The 23,375-nt window shown below is 40.8% G+C and overlaps 1 protein-coding gene across 9 annotated transcripts in view; it reads right to left on the reverse strand.

Moving 5' to 3' along the window:
• SEL1L3 (SEL1L family member 3) overlaps positions 1 to 23,375 on the reverse strand; it is a 149,603-nt gene that overhangs the window by 44,432 nt on the left and 81,796 nt on the right. For all 9 annotated transcript variants that reach the window (XR_007096387.1, XR_007096388.1, XR_001741182.3 and 6 more), the window contains exons 16-21: positions 20,681 to 20,808; positions 17,882 to 17,965; positions 9,345 to 9,435; positions 9,130 to 9,214; positions 6,931 to 7,040; positions 546 to 673 (exon numbers count right to left, since the gene is read on the reverse strand). Coding sequence is in view for 5 of the 9 variants with exons in the window: in NM_001297592.2 (NP_001284521.1) it covers positions 546 to 673; positions 6,931 to 7,040; positions 9,130 to 9,214; positions 9,345 to 9,435; positions 17,882 to 17,965; positions 20,681 to 20,808 (626 nt within the window). In the remaining 4 variants the exon portion in view is untranslated. The remainder of the gene's footprint in view (positions 1 to 545; positions 674 to 6,930; positions 7,041 to 9,129; positions 9,215 to 9,344; positions 9,436 to 17,881; positions 17,966 to 20,680; positions 20,809 to 23,375) is intronic.

The raw sequence follows: 23,375 nt of genomic DNA on the forward strand, positions 1-23,375 counted from the left end.
AAGAAGTGGAGGTTGCAGTGAGCTGAGATCGCACCACTGCACTCCAGCCTGGGTGACAAAGCAAGGCCCTGTCTCAAAATAAACAAACAAGAGACAAGCATAGGCTAATCGGATTGTTATTCTTTCCATTCTCGTGGAAATTTCTGGTCAGCCCTTGAACTTCCGATCAAGTACCTTCTATATCTTAAACTTCAGATATTAGAAAAGAGAAATACACTCGGGTCTGGCTGAATGTTTTCTAGTAGAAGAAAATCCTGGGCTTTTTCTTTCTTTTCTTTCTTTTTTTTTTTTTTCTTTTAGTAGAGATAAGGTTCTGCCAGGTTGGCCAGGCTGGTCTCGAACCCTTGACCTCAAGTGATCTGCCCGCCTCAGCCTCCCAAAGTGCTGGGATTACAAGTATGAGCCACGGTGCCCTGCTTTTTGTTTTTGTTTTTTAAATAACAATTTACATTACAATATAAGGGTAAAGCTAACTTTAACCAAGAAGCGAACATCATCTACTTGGGTTCCCTCAGATTCCACAGTTCTAGAGGCTCTGAGCTCACCTTTCGTACAGTTCCTGGAGAATGGAGATGTTATTAGAATGGAGAGTTGAGTCAATTTCCAAGAAATCCAAGATATGGTGTGGGATTATCGTACCTTCCTCGATTAGCAGGGCCAGGTTAAAAAATCCCTAAAAACAAGCCACAAACCAAACTCATCAAATCCTTGAAATAAAACCTAGACACACACTCTTCATCAGAATGTAAATGTTTACAACCTCTAAAATTTTTTTTAAGTCTCTAGAGCCAGATGGTTTTGTCATCTTCATTGATGAATTGTTTCCCTAAATATATGCATCTGAGAAATTTATTTGCAGGAGAACCAGGAGGCTTTCAGAAGCTGCTGTGTCCCATCTGCTCCGAAGCCAGTCAACCGGGAGATCCGTCCTTTCTCGCTCACTCTCTCAGAATAGAACTTACTGGAAAACGTGCCCTTGTATCATAAACGAAACAAGAATACTGAGTCGAATACCATGTCCATTGCCTACAGACTATGCCCTCAGTTGCCATAGCCCTGTTGGAAATCTGACAAAATATTTCTGTGGCTAGGGCGGCTTCCAATGACTGACAACCCAAGGCGGTGCCTCCCTTGCACGGGATCACCTAAGGGCACTCATCTCAACTTTCCTAGGCTGGTGCAGAAACCTCTTCTCATGACTCCTCTTGGCACAGATTCCCACTATGGTATATTTTCCTACCTCTTCCTCTGACACCTTGTTCTTGATCCTTAGAGGTAAGACCTGTCTTATTGGGCTGTACGGATCCAATAAAATAAACACAGTTAGAGGGCCCGACCAAAGACATGCTTCATAAAGGATGGGTACTATTACACTGCCTGGAGAATGCACACCCTCCATCACAAGCCGAGCAGGTGGCCAGATTAAGAAACAAGCAATAAACGATGTGGTACTTACCATTAGAACTTGACCAATTAAACTGGATTGTTGCCATTGAAAGAACTCAGGATCATGTTTTTTGTGTTTTGTTTTTAACTTCTGTTTCAACTTTAGGGGTACATGTACAGGTTTGTCATACAGATTATTTTGTTACGTGTTATGGGGGTTTGTTGTACATATTATTTTGTCACCCAGGTACTAAGCCTAGTACATATTTGCTATTTTTCGTGATCCTCTCCCTCCTTCCAACCTCCACCCTTAGGTGTAGTGTCTGTTGTTCCCTTCTATGTGCCCATGTGTTCTCATCATTTAGCTCCCACTAAGCGAGAATATGTGGTGTTTGGTTTTCTGCTCCTGCATAGTTTGCTATGGATAATGGCTTCCAGCTCCATCCATGTTCCTGCAAACGACATGATGTCATTCTTTTTTATGGCTGCATAGTATTCCATGGTGTATATGTACCATGTTTTCTTTAACCAGTCTACCATTGATGGGCATTTGGGTTGATTCTATGTCTTTGGTATTGTGAATCATGCTGCAATGAACATACATGTGCATGTGTCTTCATAACAGAACGATTTATATTCCTTTGGGTATATACCCAGTAATGAGATTGCTGGGTCTTGAGGAATTGCTACACTGCTTTCCACAATGGTTGAACTAATTTATACTCCCACCAACAGTGCATAAGTGTTATTTCTCTTTGCAACCTCACCGGCACCTGTTCTTTTTTGACTTTTTAATAATAACCATTCTGACTGGTGTGAGATGGTGCCTCACTGTGGTTTTGATTTGTGCTTCCCTTATGACACGATCACATCTAATGGCTTATATCTTCCCTCTGACCTTGCCTCTGACCGCAATCTAAATGAAAATCATCATTTACCAGGTTGCATACTCCAGGACTTTCACAACCATCGTATGTCGCAATCATGATAAAAATACCAGCAGCTCACGTTTTGAGTGCTTGCCATATGCGAGGCATTGTTCTGCTTTTTATATTTATTCATTTAATCCTCATAACAACAAATCGATATAGGTAGTCTTATCCTCCCTGTTTTATAGATGAGGAAACCGAGGCACAGAGTGGTTAAACAACTTGCCCAAGGTTACACAGCTGGAAAGTGGCAGAGCTGGAGCGTCAAACACAAGAGGACAGGGTGCAGAGTCTCAAATCTTAAACTCCACCATGGTGCCAAGAATAACCTCTAAATAGATGAAGCGTTAAGTATCTTTAAGATGCACACACACACTCACACAACAGCAGAAAATAGACTATTTCTGCACTCTTTGAAAGGAAGGCACTCTTAAAATTTGAGATATTAAGAGAAAAGAAAAAAATGGCTTTATGATTTTTTGTTTTGTTTTGTTGAGTGCAATGGTGTGATCTCGGCTCAGTGCATCGTCCGCCTCCTGGGTTCAAGTGATTCTCCTGCCTCAGCCTCCTGAGTAGCTGGGATTACAGGTGCCCACAGCCACGCATGGCTAATTTTTGTATTTTCAGTAGAGACGAGGTTTCTCCATGTCAGCCAGGCTGGTCTCGACCTTCTGACCTCAGTTAATCCGCCCACCTTGGCCTCCCAAAGTGCTGGCACTACAGGGTTGAGCCACCGCGCCCAGCCAGCTTTATGAAATTTTAAAGTCTCTAATCAATGGAATAATACCAAGATTAAAATAAGTGGGAAAATAGAGTAGGGGAATAGTCGTATGCAATGTAATAGCTTAAGGTTCCTTATCTGCTAGATAAATATATAAAGAACTAATTATGGTTTAAATTTTCAAAAGTGTCAAAATTCCAACAGATAAATAGGCAAAGAATAAGAATACAGAATTTACAAAAAAGAAAATGTAAAAAGTAAATTATCACAAGCTAGTATATGTAAAAGTGTCCATCATCACTAGTAATTAAGTAAATGCAAGTTAAAAACAGTAAGAAAGTATCAACATATCATTATTCAATTAGCAAAATTAAATCATGAAAGCATCCACTTGCTGGAAAGATTTCAGTCATCCTTCTCTACTTAAACACTGATCGGTGAGGTATTAAATGGAAAGCCCTTTCAGAAAGCAAAATGGCAGCATGCTATCATGTAGTCATAAAACCATTTATTTTTTTTTAATTTTTACTTCTATTTTTTGAGATGGAATCTCACTCTGTTGCCCAGGCTGGAGTGCAATGATCTCAGCTCACTGTAACCTCCACCTTCCAGGTTCAAGAGATTCTCTTGCTTCAGCCTCCCAAGTAACTGGGACTACTGGTTTGCACCACCACGCCCAGCTAATTTTTGTATTTTTAGCAGAGATGGGGTTTCACCATGTTGGCCAGGCTGGTCTCAAACTGCTGACTTCAAGTGATCTGCCTGCCTTGGCCTCCCAAAGAACTGGGATTACAGGCATGAGCCACTGTGCCCGGCCTCATAAAACCATTTAGACTGTCTGACTCAATAATACTATTTCTCAGATTATAAGGAAAGTATTCAAACTAAGAGAAAATATGGAAATATAAAAATATTCATTGTAGCACTAGCTGTAATTCCAACACAAGAGGAAACCACCTCCAAGTCTTCCTTGGTAGACTATAAATCCCATATAGGCAACAGTATGATCTATCTTTTTATCTTATGTCCCCACCACTAATCACTGTCTAAGACATGGTAGGACTCTATAGATAAATATGTGTCAAATCAATAAATAAGTTAGTAAACAAAAGGATAAGCATCCACCAATAAGGTAAAGCTTAAGAAATTATAATGTATCAGCTCAACAGAATATGGGGCAGCTATTAGGGTTAATAATTAGAGACTATGTAATAAAATGCACACAATCCTACAATAAATGATAAGACAGATTTTAAAAGTGACCGGTGGCCAGGTGCGGTGCTCACCCCTCTAATCCCAGCACTTTGGGAGGCCAAGGTGGGCGGATCACGAGGTCAAGAGATGAAGACCATCCTGCCCAACATGGTGAAACCCCGTTTCTACTAAAAACACAAAAATTAGCTGGGTGTGGTGGCGCGCCTGTAGTCCTAGCTACTCGGGAGGCTGAGGCAGGAGAATCACCTGAACCTGGGAGGCGGAAGTTGCAGTGAGCCGAGATCATGCCACTGCACTCCAGCCTGGCGACAGAGTGAGACTCTGTGTCAAAAAAAAAAAAAAAAAGTGACAGGCACACTATAGATAACATGACAGATACATCTGCTTGTGGGCAGGGACTGCAAGGGAACATGAAGACATAAAGGAGTAAAACCCCTGCCATAGAATTGTCAGTGCATTCTTTGGTTTATTTTTCTTGAAAAAATTATCCTTTATTGTTTTTGTAACATTGGCTTCCCAAACAGTAAAAATAAAAATTGAAAAAAAAAAAATCCAGGCCCAATTTTAAGTGACAGGAAATATGACCTAAGGGAGTTTATTTCTATAGCAAATGCCTTTAGCAGTAACTCCTTCTTTTCAGAAGAAATGATAACAGAATAGATCATGTCCACTGAGTGTACTTGGCACTGGGCTTAGAGCTTTACACTGAACATCTCATTTAATCCTCACGATCTATGAGGCAGATGCTCTTATTACCCCCATTTACATTTACACATGCACAAATAGAGATTCAGAGATTTAGTGACTCGCCATGAACAAAGAGCTATGGAGTGAGAGAGATGTGGGATTTTAACCCAGGTACATGACCACTGCGATGTTGTACCTCCATTAAAAAAATAAAATAAAAATAGAAAAGATTGGCTGGACACAGTGACTCATGCCTGTAATCCCAGCACCTTGGGAGGCCAAGGTGGGCAGATCACTTGAGCCCAGGAATTCAAGCCCAGCCTGGGCAACATGGCAAAACCCCATCTCTACAAAAACTACAAAAATTAGCCGGACATGCACTTGTATTTCCAGCTACTTAGGAGGCTGAGGTAGGAGGATCGCTTGAGCCTGGGGGACCAAGGCTGCAGTGAGCTGAGTGTGCCACTGCATTTCAGCCTGGGTTACAGAGTGAAACCCTGTCTCAAAAAACCCCACAAAACAGCAACAACAAAAAAATCCCACCAAAGATTGATACAGGGATAAGTTTCCAGTTTTTGCTCAGTGGTCAGACTGTAAAGCACAACACCAGAAATACGTTGCAGCAGAGGGTAACAACTATCCAAACCTCCATCATGAAAATGATTCTGAGGTTCTCAAAAGAGGATTCCAAGTAGCAAATGTAGAAGGAATAAGGGAAATTGAGAATCATCGTTAGAACAGCATGGTAATAATCGTAATAGGCAAAATTCTTGCCCAAAATGTATAACCTCAATCTATTCAAGAGAAAACAGAAGACAGACCCAAATCAACAGACATTCTACAAGGTACCTAACAAGCATTCTTCAAGTATCAAGAGTCATGAAGATGAGAAAAGACTGAGGAACTGTCATAGATTGGAGAAGATTGGAAAGAAATATACAACTCAATCTAATGTGGGATCCTGGATTGAATCCTGGAACAGAAGAAGGATATTAGTGGAAAAACTGGTGAAATCTACATGAAGTCTGAAGTGTAGTTAATAATACTGTCCCAACATTAATATCTTAGTTTGACAATGGCATTGCAGTTATGTCAGATGTGAACATTAGGGGAAGCTGAATGAAGGGTATACAGAAACTCTCACCTCTTTTTGCAACTTTTCTACAAATCTAACATTATTTTCAAATAAGAAGTTTCCAAAAAAAATCACTGAGGGAAAAACTCTGTCGCTTAAGCAAAGCCCAACAGTACAAGCAAAACACTTCCTACTGTGGATGCACTGCTAATTTCTTGAGTTTCTACCTGGTGAGTGAGTTTGATGTAATTTGGTAGAAACACCCTTCTGTTTGGAGCCAAAGATCCAGGTTTAGGAGCTGGGCATTTTGCTTACCATTTGATTATTTGGTCTTGAACAGTTCATTATCTTTGATTATAAATAGGGTATAATAATCCGCACCCCCACAGGATTATGTGAGAATGGCGTGGGGGACACAGTAGGTGTTTAATAAAGGCTCACCCTTATTGTTAGTGTCCTCATAGAGTTGTTTGAGGGGCATGTGAAAATGGATGAACAATGGCTTTGTAAACTGTGTAGTGTATACACACTGAAAGGACGGTTAGGAAGAATTCTGGTTTTGCAAATTCACAAATGGATGTCACCAAGAGCTGAGTTTTTTTCTGAGACAGGGTCTTGCTCTGTCACCCAGGCTGGAGTGCAATGGTGTGATCACGGCTTGCTGCAGCCTTGACTTGACAGACTCAAGCAATCCTCCTGCTTCAGTCTCCCAAGTAGCTGGGACTACAGGCGAGCACCACCACACCCAGCTAATTTTTGTATTTTTGTAGAGATGGGGTTTCGCCATGTTGCTCAGGCTGGTCCCGAATTCCTGACCTCAAGTGACCCGCCCCCGTCGGCCTCCCAAAGGGCTGGGATTACAGGCATGAGCCACCGTGCCCGGCCAAGAGCTGGTTTTTGTTGCGGTTGCTGTTTACCTGGGAGTCTCCATCCAGGGCGGCTTGGGCGTACATCTGCACAGACAACTCCAGGTCTTGTGACTGGTTTTGGTGGCCATAGTAGTAAAGGTCTCCCATCTTCAAATATGCTGCAGGAAATAAAGCACAGATCCATTTGTCAAGTGGTTTTTTTTATACCAACATTTTAAATTATTGGCGCATTCACATGAATGCAAGTTTTTCCTATTAGTATCTGAATACAGAACATCTTTATGTTTCCCTGATGTGTCAAGAGAGAAACAAGCAAAAAGGCTTTTTGCCCAGAGCATCCCTATTTCTAGACATATTTTTTTTCTTTTTTTTCTAAATTTTTTGCGATAGGGTCTCCGCTGCCTAGGCTGGAATACAGCGGTGAGATCAGGGCTCACTGCAGCCTTGACTTCCTGGGCTCAAGTGATCCTTCCACCTCAGCCTCCCATGTAGCTGGGATTACAGGAGTGTGCCACCACGCCCGGCTAATTTTTGTATTTTTTATAGAGACGGGGTTTCACCATGTTGTCCTGGCTGCTCTCGAACTCCTGGACTCAAGCAATCCTCCCACCTCAGCCTCCCAAGGTGCTGGGATTACAGGTGTGAGCCACCGTGCCTGGACTCTAGACAGTTTCTTATTTGGCCAGGTAGCTCTCCTGAATAGCTAAATCTCAGTCTACAACCTTGCTGCCCAAATCAGCCAAGGTTGTTTTGGGTGTTTTACTTCACATCTGAAATTTTGCTGTTCATCTTTGATGTCTGTTTTTGGTAACTCTTTGCTTTAGCCATGTATTTTATTTTTCCTCTGAAGAAAAACTTGTGTTTAAGAGTATATGTATCGGCTGAGTGCCGTAGCTCACACCTGTAATTCCAGCACTTTTGGAGGCTAAGGTGTGCAGATCACTGCAGGTCAGGAGTTCAAGACCAGCCTGGCTAACATGGTGAAATCCCACCTCTACTAAAAAATACAGAAATTAGCCAGGAATGGTGGTGCGTTCCTGTAATCACATCTACTCAGGAGGCTGAGGCAGGAGAATCGCTTGAACCTGGGAGGCAGAGGTTGCAGTGAGCCGAGATAGCACCATTGCACTCCAGCCTAGGCGACACAGCAAGACTCCATCTCAAAAAAAAAAAAAAAAAGGGTGTATGTATTAGTCAATGTCCAATAAGGAAAACAGAACCCGTTTCAAGTGGTTCAAAAGAGGAATTTCATCATGGGGAAGTAGTTACTAGGATGTTGGGAGAGCTGAAAAGGCAAATGGAAAACAATAGGCAGCCCAGAGATCAGCAGTGAGAAGGCTACTATCATCCCCAGGACTTGGGGACCAGAGGGTGCCTGTGATGTTACCAGAGACCCAGAGCCTGGTGCTGAGATCAAAGAGGGTGGAGCTGCCAGGCAGGGGCTGGAACCATGGAAATGTAGCCACTGCCAGAGACACAGTCCAAAGCAGAGAGACAAAGGTAGAAGTACTTGGACTTCTTCTCCCATCCTGCAATCTTCTGCCAGTGCCTCTTATTGCCTGAAAGGAATCAGAAGCCGGTGGGTAGAGGAGTCCAGGAACTGTAGTTCCTGGAGGCCAGTCCCCCACCATGCAGAGCAGCGTAGAGGAATCCGCACAAATGACTGGCCCAGAGAATTGCTCCATAATAGCGTTCTCTTTTACATTTTCATTGACTCAGAAGAAATGTTGGGGGCCAGGTGCAGTGGCTCACGCCTGTAACCCCAGCACTTTGGGAGGCCAAGGCAGGTGGATCACCTGAGGTCAGGAGTTTGAGACCAGCCTGGCCAACATGGTGAAACCCTATGTCTACTTAAAAAATACAAAAATTAGCTGGGCGTGGTCGTGGGCACCTGAAATCCCAGCTACTCGGGCAGGAGAATCACCTGAACCTGGGAGGTGGAGGTTGCACTGAGCCCAGATCATTCCACTGCACTCCAGCCCGGGGAACAGAGTGAGACTGTCTCCAAAAATAAAAATCAAAAAATAAGAAATGTTGGGTCCAAGCACTCCACGGGACAATGGGTGAGGAGTAGTGCATTGTGTGAGGCTGAGAGCAGAGTTTAGCGATCTTAATAGCAGAGATTTTTCACTTTCTTTTCTAATTATTTAGAAATACCTCACTTCACACAAAGCTGTCAGATGTTCCCTGTTACTAAAGATTAAAAACACCTAATGCTTCAATTTTGCACCGTTTTTCTATACATACCAAAGGAAGGAGCATCGATTTGAAAAACAGAGAAATTATAGTATCTCCAAACACAGTTAACACCCAAGTATCTCCTGGCCAGGTCCTAAGGGGTAAAGGGAAGAAAAAGTTAATTCATTAATATTTCGGCCAAGTGACCAACGTTGCCTCCATAAAACCCAATTCATTATCCTTAACCTCAGAGCTTCTACTCTGAGAAGAATACATTTACTTACTGGCCTCTCCTCACAGATGTGTGCTAAATTTGTCTGTGACACTTCAATTCCAGTTTCTGCTGCTAAAACATAATACAGCAAAGCTTCATGCCTAAAAATAGATGATTAATAATAAATTTCATATAGTGGCTCTTACTAATATTCACAGAGAGCTTTACATTCAAACATAAGAGGGCACAAAATAAGCAGTTTTTTTAAAAAAACCACAAAATCGTGAGTTTTTTTAAAAATAAATATTGTTAAAAATACTGCATGCACTGATTTATTTTCTGTCTTAAAGGCTGAACTCACAGACAAGGCTGGGGAGCTAGTTGATGCAACAGCTACCTCTACTGGCTGAAGGGCATGTCGGATGTTGGCTGGGGAGTTGTCTACTAGCCTTCAGTTCTTGAATCCTTCTTGCATCCTCGCTTAGAGGAGATAAATGGTGTTAAGAAAAACCCCTGTGCTTTGGAGTCCTCTGTTTTATAAAAAGCTTTATAGGGCTTAAGATTCTGAACAAGCTTAATTAAAGCTGAGCTTTTGTTGTGCATTAGAAGTTTGGCAAAGGAAAGGCAGTTCACAAGGGAGTTGATACATCAATGGCCAAAACACGTATGAGAAAAGAAACGTTTGACACCACTAGCAATCAAATAATCCCAAAATGAGTGACCACTTTTCATCTGTTGAAAGATTGGTACAAGATTCATATTTGGAATAATGGCAAAAGCTTGGGGGAATGGACATACTCTACAACTACTGCCAGCTTGAGGGCCAATTAATTCAACGGTTCTGGAAGGACAGGCGGGAGGAGTCTTAAGAATGTACATACCATGTGGCCCTACAGTTCTCCCTTGTGGGGGTTTATTCTAAAGAAACAATCAGAGATATGTGCAAAGATTCTGTTGCCACGGAGTTCATGGTAGAGCTGTGTATATGAATAGCAACAAAAAACTGGAAACAAATGTCTGAAAATCAGAGACTAGTGAAATTAACCCATAGTGCAGCCACTTTCAGATGTGGCCATTAAAATGATGTGTGGCAGGGTATTCAAAAACATAGCAAAATATTTATGCAAAAATTTCCATTCAGTGAAAAAAAAAGCAGAGTATAAAACAATGCATCTTATTTTTGCAAAACAAAAATATAACTGAACACACACATGCACACACATATACATGCAGATACAAATAAGCAGAGAAAAAAAAAACCCTAAAAATTATCACTAAAATGCTAACAATACTTATTTCTGGGTGGTGAGAATGCAGGTAATTTTTATTCTATTCTTTTTACTTATCTGATTTCCTCAATTTTTATACGTTACCTAGCTTAAGAGTAAAACTCTATTTTATCCAGAAGTAGTTTCTTACATCTTATTTTTCATTTTAAGGAGTTGATATTAATAACTCTTTTTTAATTTTAGCTCCACCTAGGAACTGGTTTAGGAAACGGTGGGGAAAGGTTCGGTGAGGGGGAGTAAGGGAAGCAGATTCTGAAATTATCTTTTCTAAACTGCTAAAAGCAGCTTCTGGCAGGCAATCCCTTGGAGACCGAGAGGTGCTGGGGGACAAATTAGGATAGTTAGACCTTCAGTCAGACATGCTGCAGGTCACAGGCCACGTGGCTGCTGAGGGAGCCAATTCGCAGGCTCTGAGATACCTAAGGCAGCTGACCAATTAGCCATGACTCAGGCTAAAGAGGGACAAAGTCAGCTAAGCAGCATCCCTTGCAGAGGCAAGCCAGATAACAAGCCTCCAAGTGCAGCTGCAACAACGTCCCAAAGGATGCTTGGGGATTAGCTAACATAGCCTGCAAAATCTATGTTTGGCTACAAGAATCCTCAGAGCAGACCCAAGGCCCCAGACAGAGGGCATGCAAGGGAGGCCCAGCAGAAAGTCCCCCTCATTCTGACACAAGGTCCTCTTCCTAAGGTCTTAGAATTCTCAAGTTTCTTTAGAGACACTCTGGCCTGCACTGGTGTCTCAGTTTCCACCAGGGATTGATGAGGAAAGGAGACAGTGTAGACCTGCAAACCAAGGTCAAATATTGGACCAGTGCCCTCTAACCGTAACTGGCTGGGATGTGGCTCGTGTTTACTAAAATGTAACAAAATGAGGTTTTTTCTGGCCAGGCGTGTGGTTGCTCATGCCTGTAATCCCAGAACTTTGGGAGGGTGAGGCGGGAAGATCGCTTGAGCTCTGGAGTTCAAGACCAGCCTGGGCAACAGTAGAAACCCTGTCTCTACTAAAACACAAAAAAATTAGCTCGGCATGGTGGTGCATGCCTGTAATCCCAGCCACTCGGGAGGCTGAAGCAGGAGAATCGCTCGAACACGAAAGGTGGAGGTTGCAGTGAGCCGAGACTGTGCAACTGCACTGCAGCCTGGGCGATAGAGCCAGATTCTGTCTCTAAAAAAAAAGAATTTTTTCTTAACTGCAGAAACCAATAGGCTGGTTGTCAGAATGGGTGGGGGAGATGGAGGTTGATACTCTCTGCAAGAACATTCACAATGATAAGCTTTATAAAGATAATATCTTGTGTCTAAAGTGATCTGGTGGTGGGGAAGGAAGGGAGGAACAAGTTTTATAGACTTCTATCGTCCAATCATTGTGTAAACCAGGAGGAAGTGTTACAGAATTCTCAAACATTTCCATTGAGGAAACACTGAAATCCATCAGAAAGAGATGTCTAAAAAGGCATGTGAGATCCATAGAAACACTGAACAGAAATCTACCTCTGGGCCGAGCACAGTGGCTCATGCCTGTAATCCTAGCACTTTGGGAGGCCAAGGCAGGTAGATCACTTGAGGTCAGGAGTTCAAGACCAGCCTGGCCAACATTGTGAAACCCTGTCTCTGCTAAAAATATAAAAATTAGCTGGACTTGGTGGTGGGCGCCTGTAATCCCAGCTACTTGGGAGGCTGAGGCAGGAGAATCATTTGAACCCAGGAGGCGGAGGTTGCAGTGAGCCGAGATTGCACCACTGTACTCCAGCCTGGGCAACAGAGTGAGACTCTGTCTCAAAAAAAAAAAAAAAAAAAGAAAAGAAAAGAAAAGAAAAAAAAGAAAAAAAGAAATCCACCTCTATTTTTCATCTTGCACAATCAATCACCCAATGCGTGTACCACCACCATCCATGTTCACATCTACTGAGCAGTGAGCTCTAGGTGGGGGCTAGCCACTCAAGACCAGATTTCTTTAGCTTATTAAAACTTCTGAGACAATGCCTCTGCAGAAACCCTGTCCACATTTAGCCTTCCAGCACTTTGCTCTTGCTTAACTGTGTTTCAACAGCTTATTAAAACTTCTGAGACAATGCCTCTGCAGAAACCCTGACCATATTTAGCCTTCTAGCACTTTGCTCCTACTTGTGTTTCAACAGACGCTATCTGAAAGTATTAATTCCAGATATTCCTACACTTACATTCATAGAACAAACATTTACTCAGCATTTTTTAATTGCAGGAAACCCAAAGACAAGCTGCAAAACTATTGTCCTTCCTTGAATTTCCTCAAGCTTTAGAAAGTCAACCAGAGCTTCAAGCTTTATTTCCAATGCACTCAAGTAAAATTGTCCCTTAGACAGCCATTTTGACAGGGAGAGGGGAATGGGTGCAGAGAGGAAGGGATTGAGAGAAAAGAAAGAATTTAAGGACACATTTGCTATCCTCCTTTCAGACCCAGCAAATGCATTTCTAGAACTTTTATAATGATACATCTTAATAATCAATCCTTTGGCTGCTTGCTGTGAATTACAAATTTGAGTACCCCTGAGCAGTTTCTCCACAATTATATTATTTTGCACGTGCTCTTTTCTGCCAATGGCTGAAGCAGCTCAGACTATAAGGATGAAAAAAAAATTCCTGGGGTCTCAGTGGAATTCAGGACCCCAGCTCTATTGCAAAAAGGTGAATTTCTTTCACCTGGAGCTATGTATGCTTACTTGCCTTGCCTCAAGCCCACTATAATCTGGCTAACCTCCTGGGTTAAGTGTTTTTGGTATACTTAAGACAAAGGACAATAAAACATGTAGCTTGCAGATAAAATAGATAAAACACATGTAGGGGTAAGGCAGAGAGAAATGAAACATGACAGCTGGTCTTTCCTTGGCTAACTTCTTCGAGTGTCCGAGGACAGCCTCAGGCATGACAACATTATCTTCTGTATTACGCTGATATAGCAAAAAGCCCTTTCCTTAATCATGCTCCTCTTTTAAACTATCCCATATAAATCTTGGAACAACATAGAAAAGCACAAGCTCATCAAACTGACACATGTAATTTGAAAATAACTTCTAGAATAAATTCACTCACACAAAAATGAAAAAAGGGGAGGGACTGGGACATCGATGGATGATTTAGTTCTATTACAGCAGAATAGATGGTACCAAAAAAATGTCACGTTGGACGGTGAGGAGGCCAGCAAACATACATTTCCTATTTAACCCCTGGGGAGGGCTTGAAAGCTTGGAGAGCAGGAATGGATGGAAGTACTTTGTCCCAAATATCTTTTGAAAAAGATTTCCTCATTGTAATAGATACAAAACGTTTCTTCCTGTTGATACTAAGAGGTTTCAAATCCAGACTGAGACATACCTTTAAAAATAATTAGCTTCTGTATCAAGATTAGCAAAGATATGGAGAAATAGAAATTTATATATGGTGGGCAAGAGAGTAAATTGGTGAAACTACTTAAGAAAACAATTGACATTGTCTTGTAAGTTGAACATGTTCTCCTATGACCTAGAGTCCCCACTCCTAAGTTTACATTCTAGGGCGACTCTTTCTATTTGCCCTATGAGATACATAAAAAATGCTCATGGCCGCATTGATCTTAAAAAACAAAGGAAAGAAAAGGCAAGGCAAGGCAAGGCAGAAGGGAAAAGGAAAGGAAAAGAAAGAAAAAAGAAAAGAAAAAAAGAAGGGAAAGAAAAGAGAGGAAGGAAAAGAAAAAAAGAAAAGAAAGAGAATCCAAATATTCATTAACAAGAGAACTGGGAAATAAATTGTGATCTGTTACAGCAGTGAATATGAATGAGCTACAGGTACATGCATCAAAATGTGTGAATCTTATTTTTATTTATTTATTTATTTTTTTTGAAAGGGAGTCTTGCTCTGTTGCCCAGGCTGGAATGCAGTGGCTCAATCTCAGCTCACTGCAACCTCCACCTCCTGGGTTCAAGCAATTCTCCTGCCTCAGCCTCCCGAGTAGCTGAGATTACAGGTGCATACCATCACACCCGGCTAATTTTTGTATTTTAGTCGAGATGGGGTTTCACCATGTTGGTCAGGCTGGTCTCAAACTCCTGACCTCAAATGATCCACCCGCCTTGGCCTCCCAAAGTGCTGGGATTACAGGCGTGCACCACCACGCCCAGCAAGATGTGTGAATCTTAGGAGCATTATGTTAAGTAAAAAAAAGCAGTTGAAGAATTATATGTTATATAAAGTAATTATAATCATATAAAGGTCAGAAATAAGCCAAACTAAATCCATTTCTTAGGAATATATTCATATATAGCAAAAATATAAAGAGGGCAAGGGGCAGATCAACAAGAAGCTAGGATGATGGTTACTTCTGGGTACTGGGGGTAGGATGGGATTTAATCTGGGAGGGACAGCAGGGGCTTCACTAGCACTGGCCATGTTTATTTTTTTAAGTAGAGTGATAGCTTTATGGCTGTTCATTTTATTGTCACTCTTTGGAGGTTATGTATGTATCATATATACTTCATACATATCAATGATTACATGATAAAAGAAGAGAAAAGCCACCCTACTGACTCATGCCACATCTTCCGTTCAAATGCTCGGCTCCTTTTGAACTAACTCCCCTTTCAGGCTCTCCCTTCTATTCACCATACACAGCTGTTTGATAAGCATCTAAGAAACAGGCTCTGTCATGTAACTACGCTCTCCAAAATGATCAATGCCTCCCCACTGCTTCATAAATTAAATAAAAAACTATTGATGGCTCCCCACTGCTTCACAAACGCATAATCTGCCATTCAAAATTCCATGAAGTAGCACCTCTTTGGTTTCATTATATATCCCTCTCAAGTTTTACCCACATGGCATAGTATTTTGTAGACTCTCTTTGCTTTTGTTCCTGCAATTCCCTACACCATAAATGCTGTTCCCTGCCTGGCTAAGTGGAAATTCCACCCATCCTTCAAGACCACCTCATCCATTACTTCTATCATGAAGGCTGTCCCAAGCTTCCCAAACCAGGCATCTTTTCCTCCTAAGTACCCCCAGTGATCTTTACATACTGCTCACGGCCCTTGAGCTATAATTGTTCCCTCTATTCACCTTAGTTCATTCAATCAGTAGTTTCCAAACACTTTCCAGGCACCCCAGTGTGTAAGGAACTGGGATAGAAGTTATCAGGCAATTGACATGTAAAAAGCAATCATGATCCATGGAAGAACAAAAGGAAATAAGGAGTTAGGTAGGATTCCGGGGCAGAGGAAAAAGCCAGCGCAAGGGCTCAGAGATCAGATAGAATATGGGCCACATGAGAACCTGCCTGCAGAAGAGATGAGGCAGCAAATTTCCCTAAGCCCTATTTGAGGCATCTCTCGAAACCTGTGGCCAGGCAACCTGCATTTAAATGTACTCAGTAAAATCTGCGGAACTGAATCCAAACTCACAAAGGGTACAGGACACACTTCAGGTCTCCTTTCTCCTTCCCCCAACCAACCAACCAACCAATCAACCAACCAACCACCCAAACAGAAAACCATGATGAGGCTGAGTATTAAGAAAGAGAACAAGCCACAGAAATCTTAATTCATCTAGGCCTTCGCAGCAGCTTTTACAATATGCTAAAGTGCTTTGTGATATTAAATTCAAAAGCAGGGCCCAGGTGAGGTGGCTCATGCCTGTAATCCCAACACTTTGGGAGGCCAAGGTGGTGAATCACCTGAGGTCAGGAGTTCAAGACCAGCCTGGCCAACATGAAGAAACCCTCTCTACTAAAAATACAAAAATTATCTGGGCGTGGTGGTGGGCACCTGTAATCCCAGCTACTCAGGAGAATTGCTTGAACCCGGCAGGCGGAGGCTGCAGTGAGCCAAGATCGTGCCACTGCACCCTAGCCTGGGTGACAGAGTGAGACTTCATCTCAAAAAAGCTTCAAAACAACAAAAGTAGGCAAGAAAGCTAAGGAACTAACAAAGACTCTATGAGAAAAACAGTGTCAGACATCATGGGGGCAGGGGTGGGTTGGGGAGGAGTGTTTACAGGAGTGCTCTTCCTTTGGGAAAACCCCAAAAATAAACACTCCGATATCTGAATGTTTAGTTCATCCTAAGAAGTTTGTAGGGAGCAGAGGGTGGGAGGTTGGGAAAGCGAGAAGCAGAGAATGAGTTAAAGTCAAATTTGGGAGTTTTATGAACTGAAGTTCACTTGAGAAACAAGATAAAGCATCACAAAAATTGTAAGGTACATTTACGATGGGGAAACAGTAACTTTCTGAAAAAAATCTCTTTTTGATTGTGCAAAGTGAGGCCACAGGTAATAAACTTTCACAGGATGATGATAATAAAAATTTGCATTTGGTGCTTTCTTCATTGGCCTCATTTCTCCTACACTTTCTAATTTAAGATTCTTACTCATTGAGATGCTATCTGTTGGTTGCGTGTGCAGCCATGGACTAAAAGGGAAAATGTCATTCTTTTGAACTTACACTTTAATTTTTAATTAAGGTTCAAATCAGAGTATGATCAATGCTGAGTCTCAGCTAATGTCTTTGAGGCAGTGGACTGAGGACTTTTTTTAGTTATTACTGAAATATCCACATCATTTAAGCAATAAAGCAGCCAAGAAAATGTGACCCAAGTTAAAACAACAATGGAATGCTAGAACTGATAGAAAAAAATAAAAGAAAGAAGACTGGTCAAGTTAGGAGAGGGGTCCCTTATTTGTAAAATCTATGAGTAACAGCAAACAGGGAACATTTGTGGGTCCTCATACACCATGTTTCATCCCATAAAGAACAAGATGAGATTTGCTAACTCCACCAGAAGGTTAGGAAGGAGGGCATCTGTTTGTTTGTGCCATTGGATACTGGACTTCCAACAATCCCAGGCTCCTAGTCATGGCAGATGCAGTAAAACATCTATGGAAGAGGTGGCCTGAACCTTAAACACTGATCTCTCTTCTTGCTAGGAACAAGGTAGAAATTCTGGACTTTCTGTGGCCTGGAAATAAAAAGCAGAGAGTCTCACCTAAGATCCCCTATGCTGTCTCCAGACCAGACTCTAAAACCAAGAGGGGCAAGCTTAAAGGAAAGAGAAATCAATGTATTTGTATATCTTTCTCAACTTGATGAGTGTGAACAATTCCCCTAGAGAACAAATTTTTGTGTATAATTAAACATGGAAATGCTATGTTTTCCAATCAACAGCCAATCAGTCCATGATACTCTGAATATCATTACTGGGAGCTGTGATTTCCCTGCAAATTGCTTTCTCAGTTGCATTTTAAGACTCCATTTCATAAGACTATACTGACAGACAGGGAAAAAAGTTTGCTCTAACGTGGATCCCAAGCTTACCATGAACCTTCCAGGTAGGCATTGAGGCCTTTGCGGATGACATGGCCCAAGTAGCCATTTTTCTCAGCTACATGTTTTGCCCATCTGAAAAAAAAAAGGGAAGAGAAAATACGCAAACCATGGCAAATTTAATAAAATGTTTTTCTTCATATGCTCTCAATAAATCCCACTTGGGGAATATTTTGCTAGTTAGAATTTTTATAGAGCAACAAACCAGAACTGAATGTTAAGGTAAAGAAAATGCATTCTGAGAGCTTTTCATTTAGTGCCCTTTCTTATGAATGATTAGGAGTTGTCTTTTATGGAAACAAAGACATGTAAGATACATAATGAAATATATCCACCAATATGAAAAAATATAATCTCTACCAAGAGTTCTAGTACTCTATTAAGTCATGTTTACTGACTTATTATTAGCTTTCCCTATTTTGCTTTGTTCTCTAATTTATTAGGGGTTTATTAGTAATGAGCTAGTCTGTTATAATCTTTAGATTTATAACTACTAAAATAATAGTTTAAGAATGCATAACTAAAAAGCTAACAGAAGGGGAAGTAGAATAATTTTTTTAAATACTTGATTAATACAAAGGAAGGGTAAGAAAAGAGATTAAAAAAAGGCACAAAAACCCCCCCACAGATGTGACAAATAGAAAATAAACAGGAAAATGGTATATTTAAAACCAAACATATCCATAATTACATTAAATGTAAATGGACAAAATACACCAATTAAAGATGAAAATTTAAAAATACAAAAAATAAAAATACAAAATTTTAAAAATTAAAAAATACAAATACCCAATTACATGCTGCTTACAAGAGCCATGCATTGACATTTAAGAATGAAGAAAAGTTGAAAGCAAAAAAATGGAAAAAGATAAATCATACAAACTCTAACATTAAAATCAGGTATAACTATATGATCATCAGAAAAAATAGACTTTAAGGCAAGAACCATCAACAGAGATAAAGAAGACATTGTAAAATGATAAAGGGATCAACTACAAAGACAAAACAATTCTAAATCTATGTGATCTAATAGCATAGATTCAAGATATATAATGCAAAATTGACAGAACTAAAAAGAGAGGTAGGTAAGTCCACAAATATAGTTGGAGATTTTAATATACTTCTTTCAGTAACTGAACTAACAAGCAGAAAAAGAAACATCAGAAAGGATGGGGAGGCTCTGAATAATGTAATTAACAAACTTGATGTAACTGATATATATGTAGATGTTGATCCAGCAAGTTCAGAAAGTGCACTCTTTTCAAAAAGCCATAAAACATATACCAAAATTGACCATATACCAATCATAAAGCACACTTTGACAAATTTCAAAGGATTGGAATCATTCAGAATATATTCTCTGATCACAGTGAAATTAAGCTAGAAATCATTAACAAGAGGATAACAGAAAATCCACAAAACATGAATATTCATGTCAAATATACTAAATAACAATGATAAAAAACTTCAAGTCAGTCTAAGTCAAGTTTATCACCAAGGTCAGGTCAGGTTGAATTTGAACCCAAATGTGTTATGAAGAACAATCTTTTGGAGAGCCAGGGTATCAGTGTGAGGGTGGCCTAAAACAGAGGTCGACAAACTTTTTCTGTAAAGAGCAGGATAGTAAATATCTTAAGCTTTGTGGGCCACATATAGTCTCTGTTGCATATTCTTCTTTATTTGTTTTATAACTCCTCAAGAATGTAAAAAGCATTCTTAGCTCTTGGAGCCATACAAAACAGGTACCAAGCTACATTTCATCTATGGGTCATGGTTTGACAACTCCTGTAAAACATTTTCAGATCTGCAAGACCTCAAAAATGTGCCTCCCATTCACCATACCTCAGGAACCTACTATTGGATGTGCTCCACCAAAATTTAAGTGCAGACCAAGAAAGAGAAAGAAAGGGGTCTGACAAAGAAGAGAACCAAAAAAGACACAGATGGAGGGAAAGTAAATACCCATAATGATGACAGTTAATCTCAGCATGACAGCATTGTCCTGAACAAAGACTCCAGGATGGATGTCACCAAGAAGGTTAAATTAATATAATATTTAGATAGGTCTGGACATACCAAGAGGAAATTCAGGCACCTGGAGGAGAATTTGGAGATCAAATACATAGAAAATGATAAGTATACAGAAAGCTTAGCAAATAAACAATAAAAAATAAGTAGCAATCCATAGAAAAGAAAAAGTTGTGCAAGAAAGGAAAAGTAATCAGAGTATACTACATGGTTCAGTTAGAAATAGCATTTACATGGTCATAATAATGTAAACCCTGATACTAATGTAACCAAAATGATATACTTATTGGGAAGATGAAAGATGGCAGGAAGTATGAGTGAGCTGAGTAGTGGGAGGTGGCAGAGTCAAAGAAAACTACATCTTTATCCTTCGCAGTGGGACATCATTAGACAATGCCTCGGATGAAAATACCAAGAAATAGTGGTATAAGCATGTTATTTAGAAATAGAGACAAATAAAAAATAAATAAAATAAAATAAATCTTTCAAAAAAGATTGAAAGTGATTCATTCTAGGGAGCAGAAAATAGAGTCTAGGGGTGGGATGAAGTGAGGTAGGCAAGGATTTCTTGTTTAGCCTTTGTCAAATTATTTTTAAATTTTTAATTAAAAGTTTTAATTTTGTCTTGTCAAATTACATGACTTTTAAAACTACATGCATGTACAACTGGTAAAAATAAAGAACTCAACTTAAAAAATGCTCAGGCACAGAGAATATAGGATATGGCTTTCCCTTCAAATGCAACGTTTGACAGAGTCTTACACAACAGCTTTCTCAGGATCTCTAGGGAATGTCTCCAGGTTGCCTGTGATATAGTAGAGAGAACACCACAAGGTCCCTTCCATGTGTCCACCTTGCGCAGCCTTATGGAAATATTCACCAGCTAAAGTCTGTAACAAGAGATGAACAAACATCGAGTCATCCTAGCTGGGCTGGTTTCGCCAGAGACAAGGTGATGAGATGCTTTAAGCCTGATATGATTACAGGCTTATAACTTCTGATAGCTTTAAAACCAGGGCAAGCAACAATTCCAGGAAGACAGCCAATCACAGAAGTCAGCCTCTGAGATGTATGACCTTGCCTCATCTATTCTGTTGATTAAGTTTACCCAATAAATAAGACAACATGTAATTATGAATACCATTGCCATCTCATTTGATCCTCACATAACCCCCTGAAGGCTAGATAGAAGACTATATCAGAAGTCAAACCAGGTGAAAATCCAGGCATTTGCTTTCCTAACCCTGCTTAATACCTTTCTTCAAACTCATGTGCGAAAACTGCATTTCCAGTAGGAAGGTGAGAATTAGAATGTGACAATAAGAAATCTTCACTCACAGATGTCTTGGGAGGGTTAGCACACATTTGCTATGCATAAAAATATACTGCCTCTTATGTCATCAGAGACAGGTAGAGGGAAAAAATAAGACAAACATGTAGATGGGTATATTTCCACAGATTACTCTTATTTTTCTGAGGCAGTTGGCTATTGTTTTTTGAAAGCATGGGTGTTGAAGTTAGGCAGGCTTGGTTCAAATCCCAACTCTGCTCCTTACTAGCTGTGTGGACTTGGGCATGTTGGTTAATCTCTCCAAACCTAATTTCCTTCCACTAAAAAATGTGCCTTCAGATAGCACCTAGAGTGAAGGGTTGTTGTAAGGATTAAATGAGATAACACATTCTCAAGGTTTAGCACAGTGCTTCAAAAAGAATAATCTTCCAATTCTTCCCCTCCTACCCCCAAATCTGCTGCTGCCACAATCTTGTTCCTCCCAATAAATGCCACTTCCATTCTTCCAACGCAACAAATGCCAAACACCTTGGAGTCACCCCTGACTCTTCTCCACCTCTCACACCCCACATTCAACCCCTCAGCAAATCCTGCTGCCTCGACCTTCCAAATACATGTAGAACCCAGTTTCAGCCCCTCCACTGACACTGCCCTGGTCTCGCCCACTGCCCTCTCTCACTTGGATCCAATGCATGAACCCCCTGCTCCTGTCCATGTCTCCGGTAGGCAGGATCCAGGAGGAACCTTTTAAAATACAGCCCATCGTTGCCCCATTGAACATTGCCCAGTGGTTTCCCATTTCATTCAGAGCAGAAACTGAGTCTCAGACTGGTCGGCTTCCTCCCTGGTCCTATCTCCCACCCTCTCCATCTCTTCTGCTTTCCACTCCACTCCCCTGGCCTCCCTGCTGCTCCTCTAGCACACCAAGCCTGCTTCCTTCTCAGGGCCTTTGCACTGCCTGCTCCTTCCTTCTGGAATGTTCTCCTAGATATCTGTAAGATTCCTTTAGGAGTCTATACAATATCACCTTATGAGAGAGGCCTTCCTTGGTTCCCTGGTTTCCCTTATAAAATAGCATTTCCCAATCTCCACCCCCTCATCCTACATATATATAAAATATATAAATAATATATATAAATAAAAAATTATATATAAACTATATATAAATAAAAAATAAAATACACATAAATAAAATATATATAAATAATATATATATATTTTATATATATATATATTTTTGAGATGGAGTCTTGCTCTGTCGCTCAGGCTGGAGTACAGTGGCACAATCTTAGCTCACTACAACCTCTGCCTCCGGGGTTCCAGTGATTCTCCTGCCTCAGCCTCTCGAGTGCCTGAGATTACAAGCATGCACCACCACACCTGGATAATTTCTGTATTTTTAGTGATGAGGGTTTGTATTTTTAGAGACGGAGTTTTAAAATGTTGGCCAGGCTGGTCTTGAACTCCTGAGCTCAAGTGATCTGCCTGCCTCAGCCTCCCAAAGTGATGGGATTACAGGTGTGAACCACCACTCTCAGCCCTCCTGAACTTGTTTTAGTTCTCTGCATAGCACTGATCTTCACCTCCCCTCCTATTATATATTTATTTGTTTATTGTCTTTTCCATCTGGTGGAATGAAAGCTTCATAAGATCAGGGACTGTTTTGCCTGCTACTATGTCCTCAGTGTTCAGAAGGGTGCCTGGCACTGGGTGGGTATTCACCACATTTTGTTAAATGTAGCGGAGCTCAGGACCAGGCACAGTGGCTCACACCTGTAATCCCAGAACTTTGGGTGGTGGAGGTGGGCGGATCACTTGAGGCCAGGAGTTCAAGACCAGCCTGGACAACATGGCAAAACCTCATCTCTACTAAAAATACAAAAATTAACCAGGCGTGGTGGTGCACGCCTGTAATCCCAGTTACTCCAGAGGCTGAGGCATGAGAATCGTTTTTATTTTTAACGATTTTTATTATCAACATTATTATTAATAGAGTGGGCTTCCACTGTGCACTAGGCCAGGTCCTCACTCCACTAAGTGTGTGACCCTACGTTACTTAACTTCGCAGAACCTCAGTCACTTGTCTGAAAAATGGACATAACCAGAGTATTAATAGCTATTTCAGAGGAGAATTAGGATTACATAAGAGGGCACATGGTAGGGTGT

Source organism: Homo sapiens, chromosome 4 (genome assembly GCF_000001405.40).
Source record: "Homo sapiens chromosome 4, GRCh38.p14 Primary Assembly".
Taxonomy (NCBI): domain Eukaryota; kingdom Metazoa; phylum Chordata; class Mammalia; order Primates; family Hominidae; genus Homo; species Homo sapiens.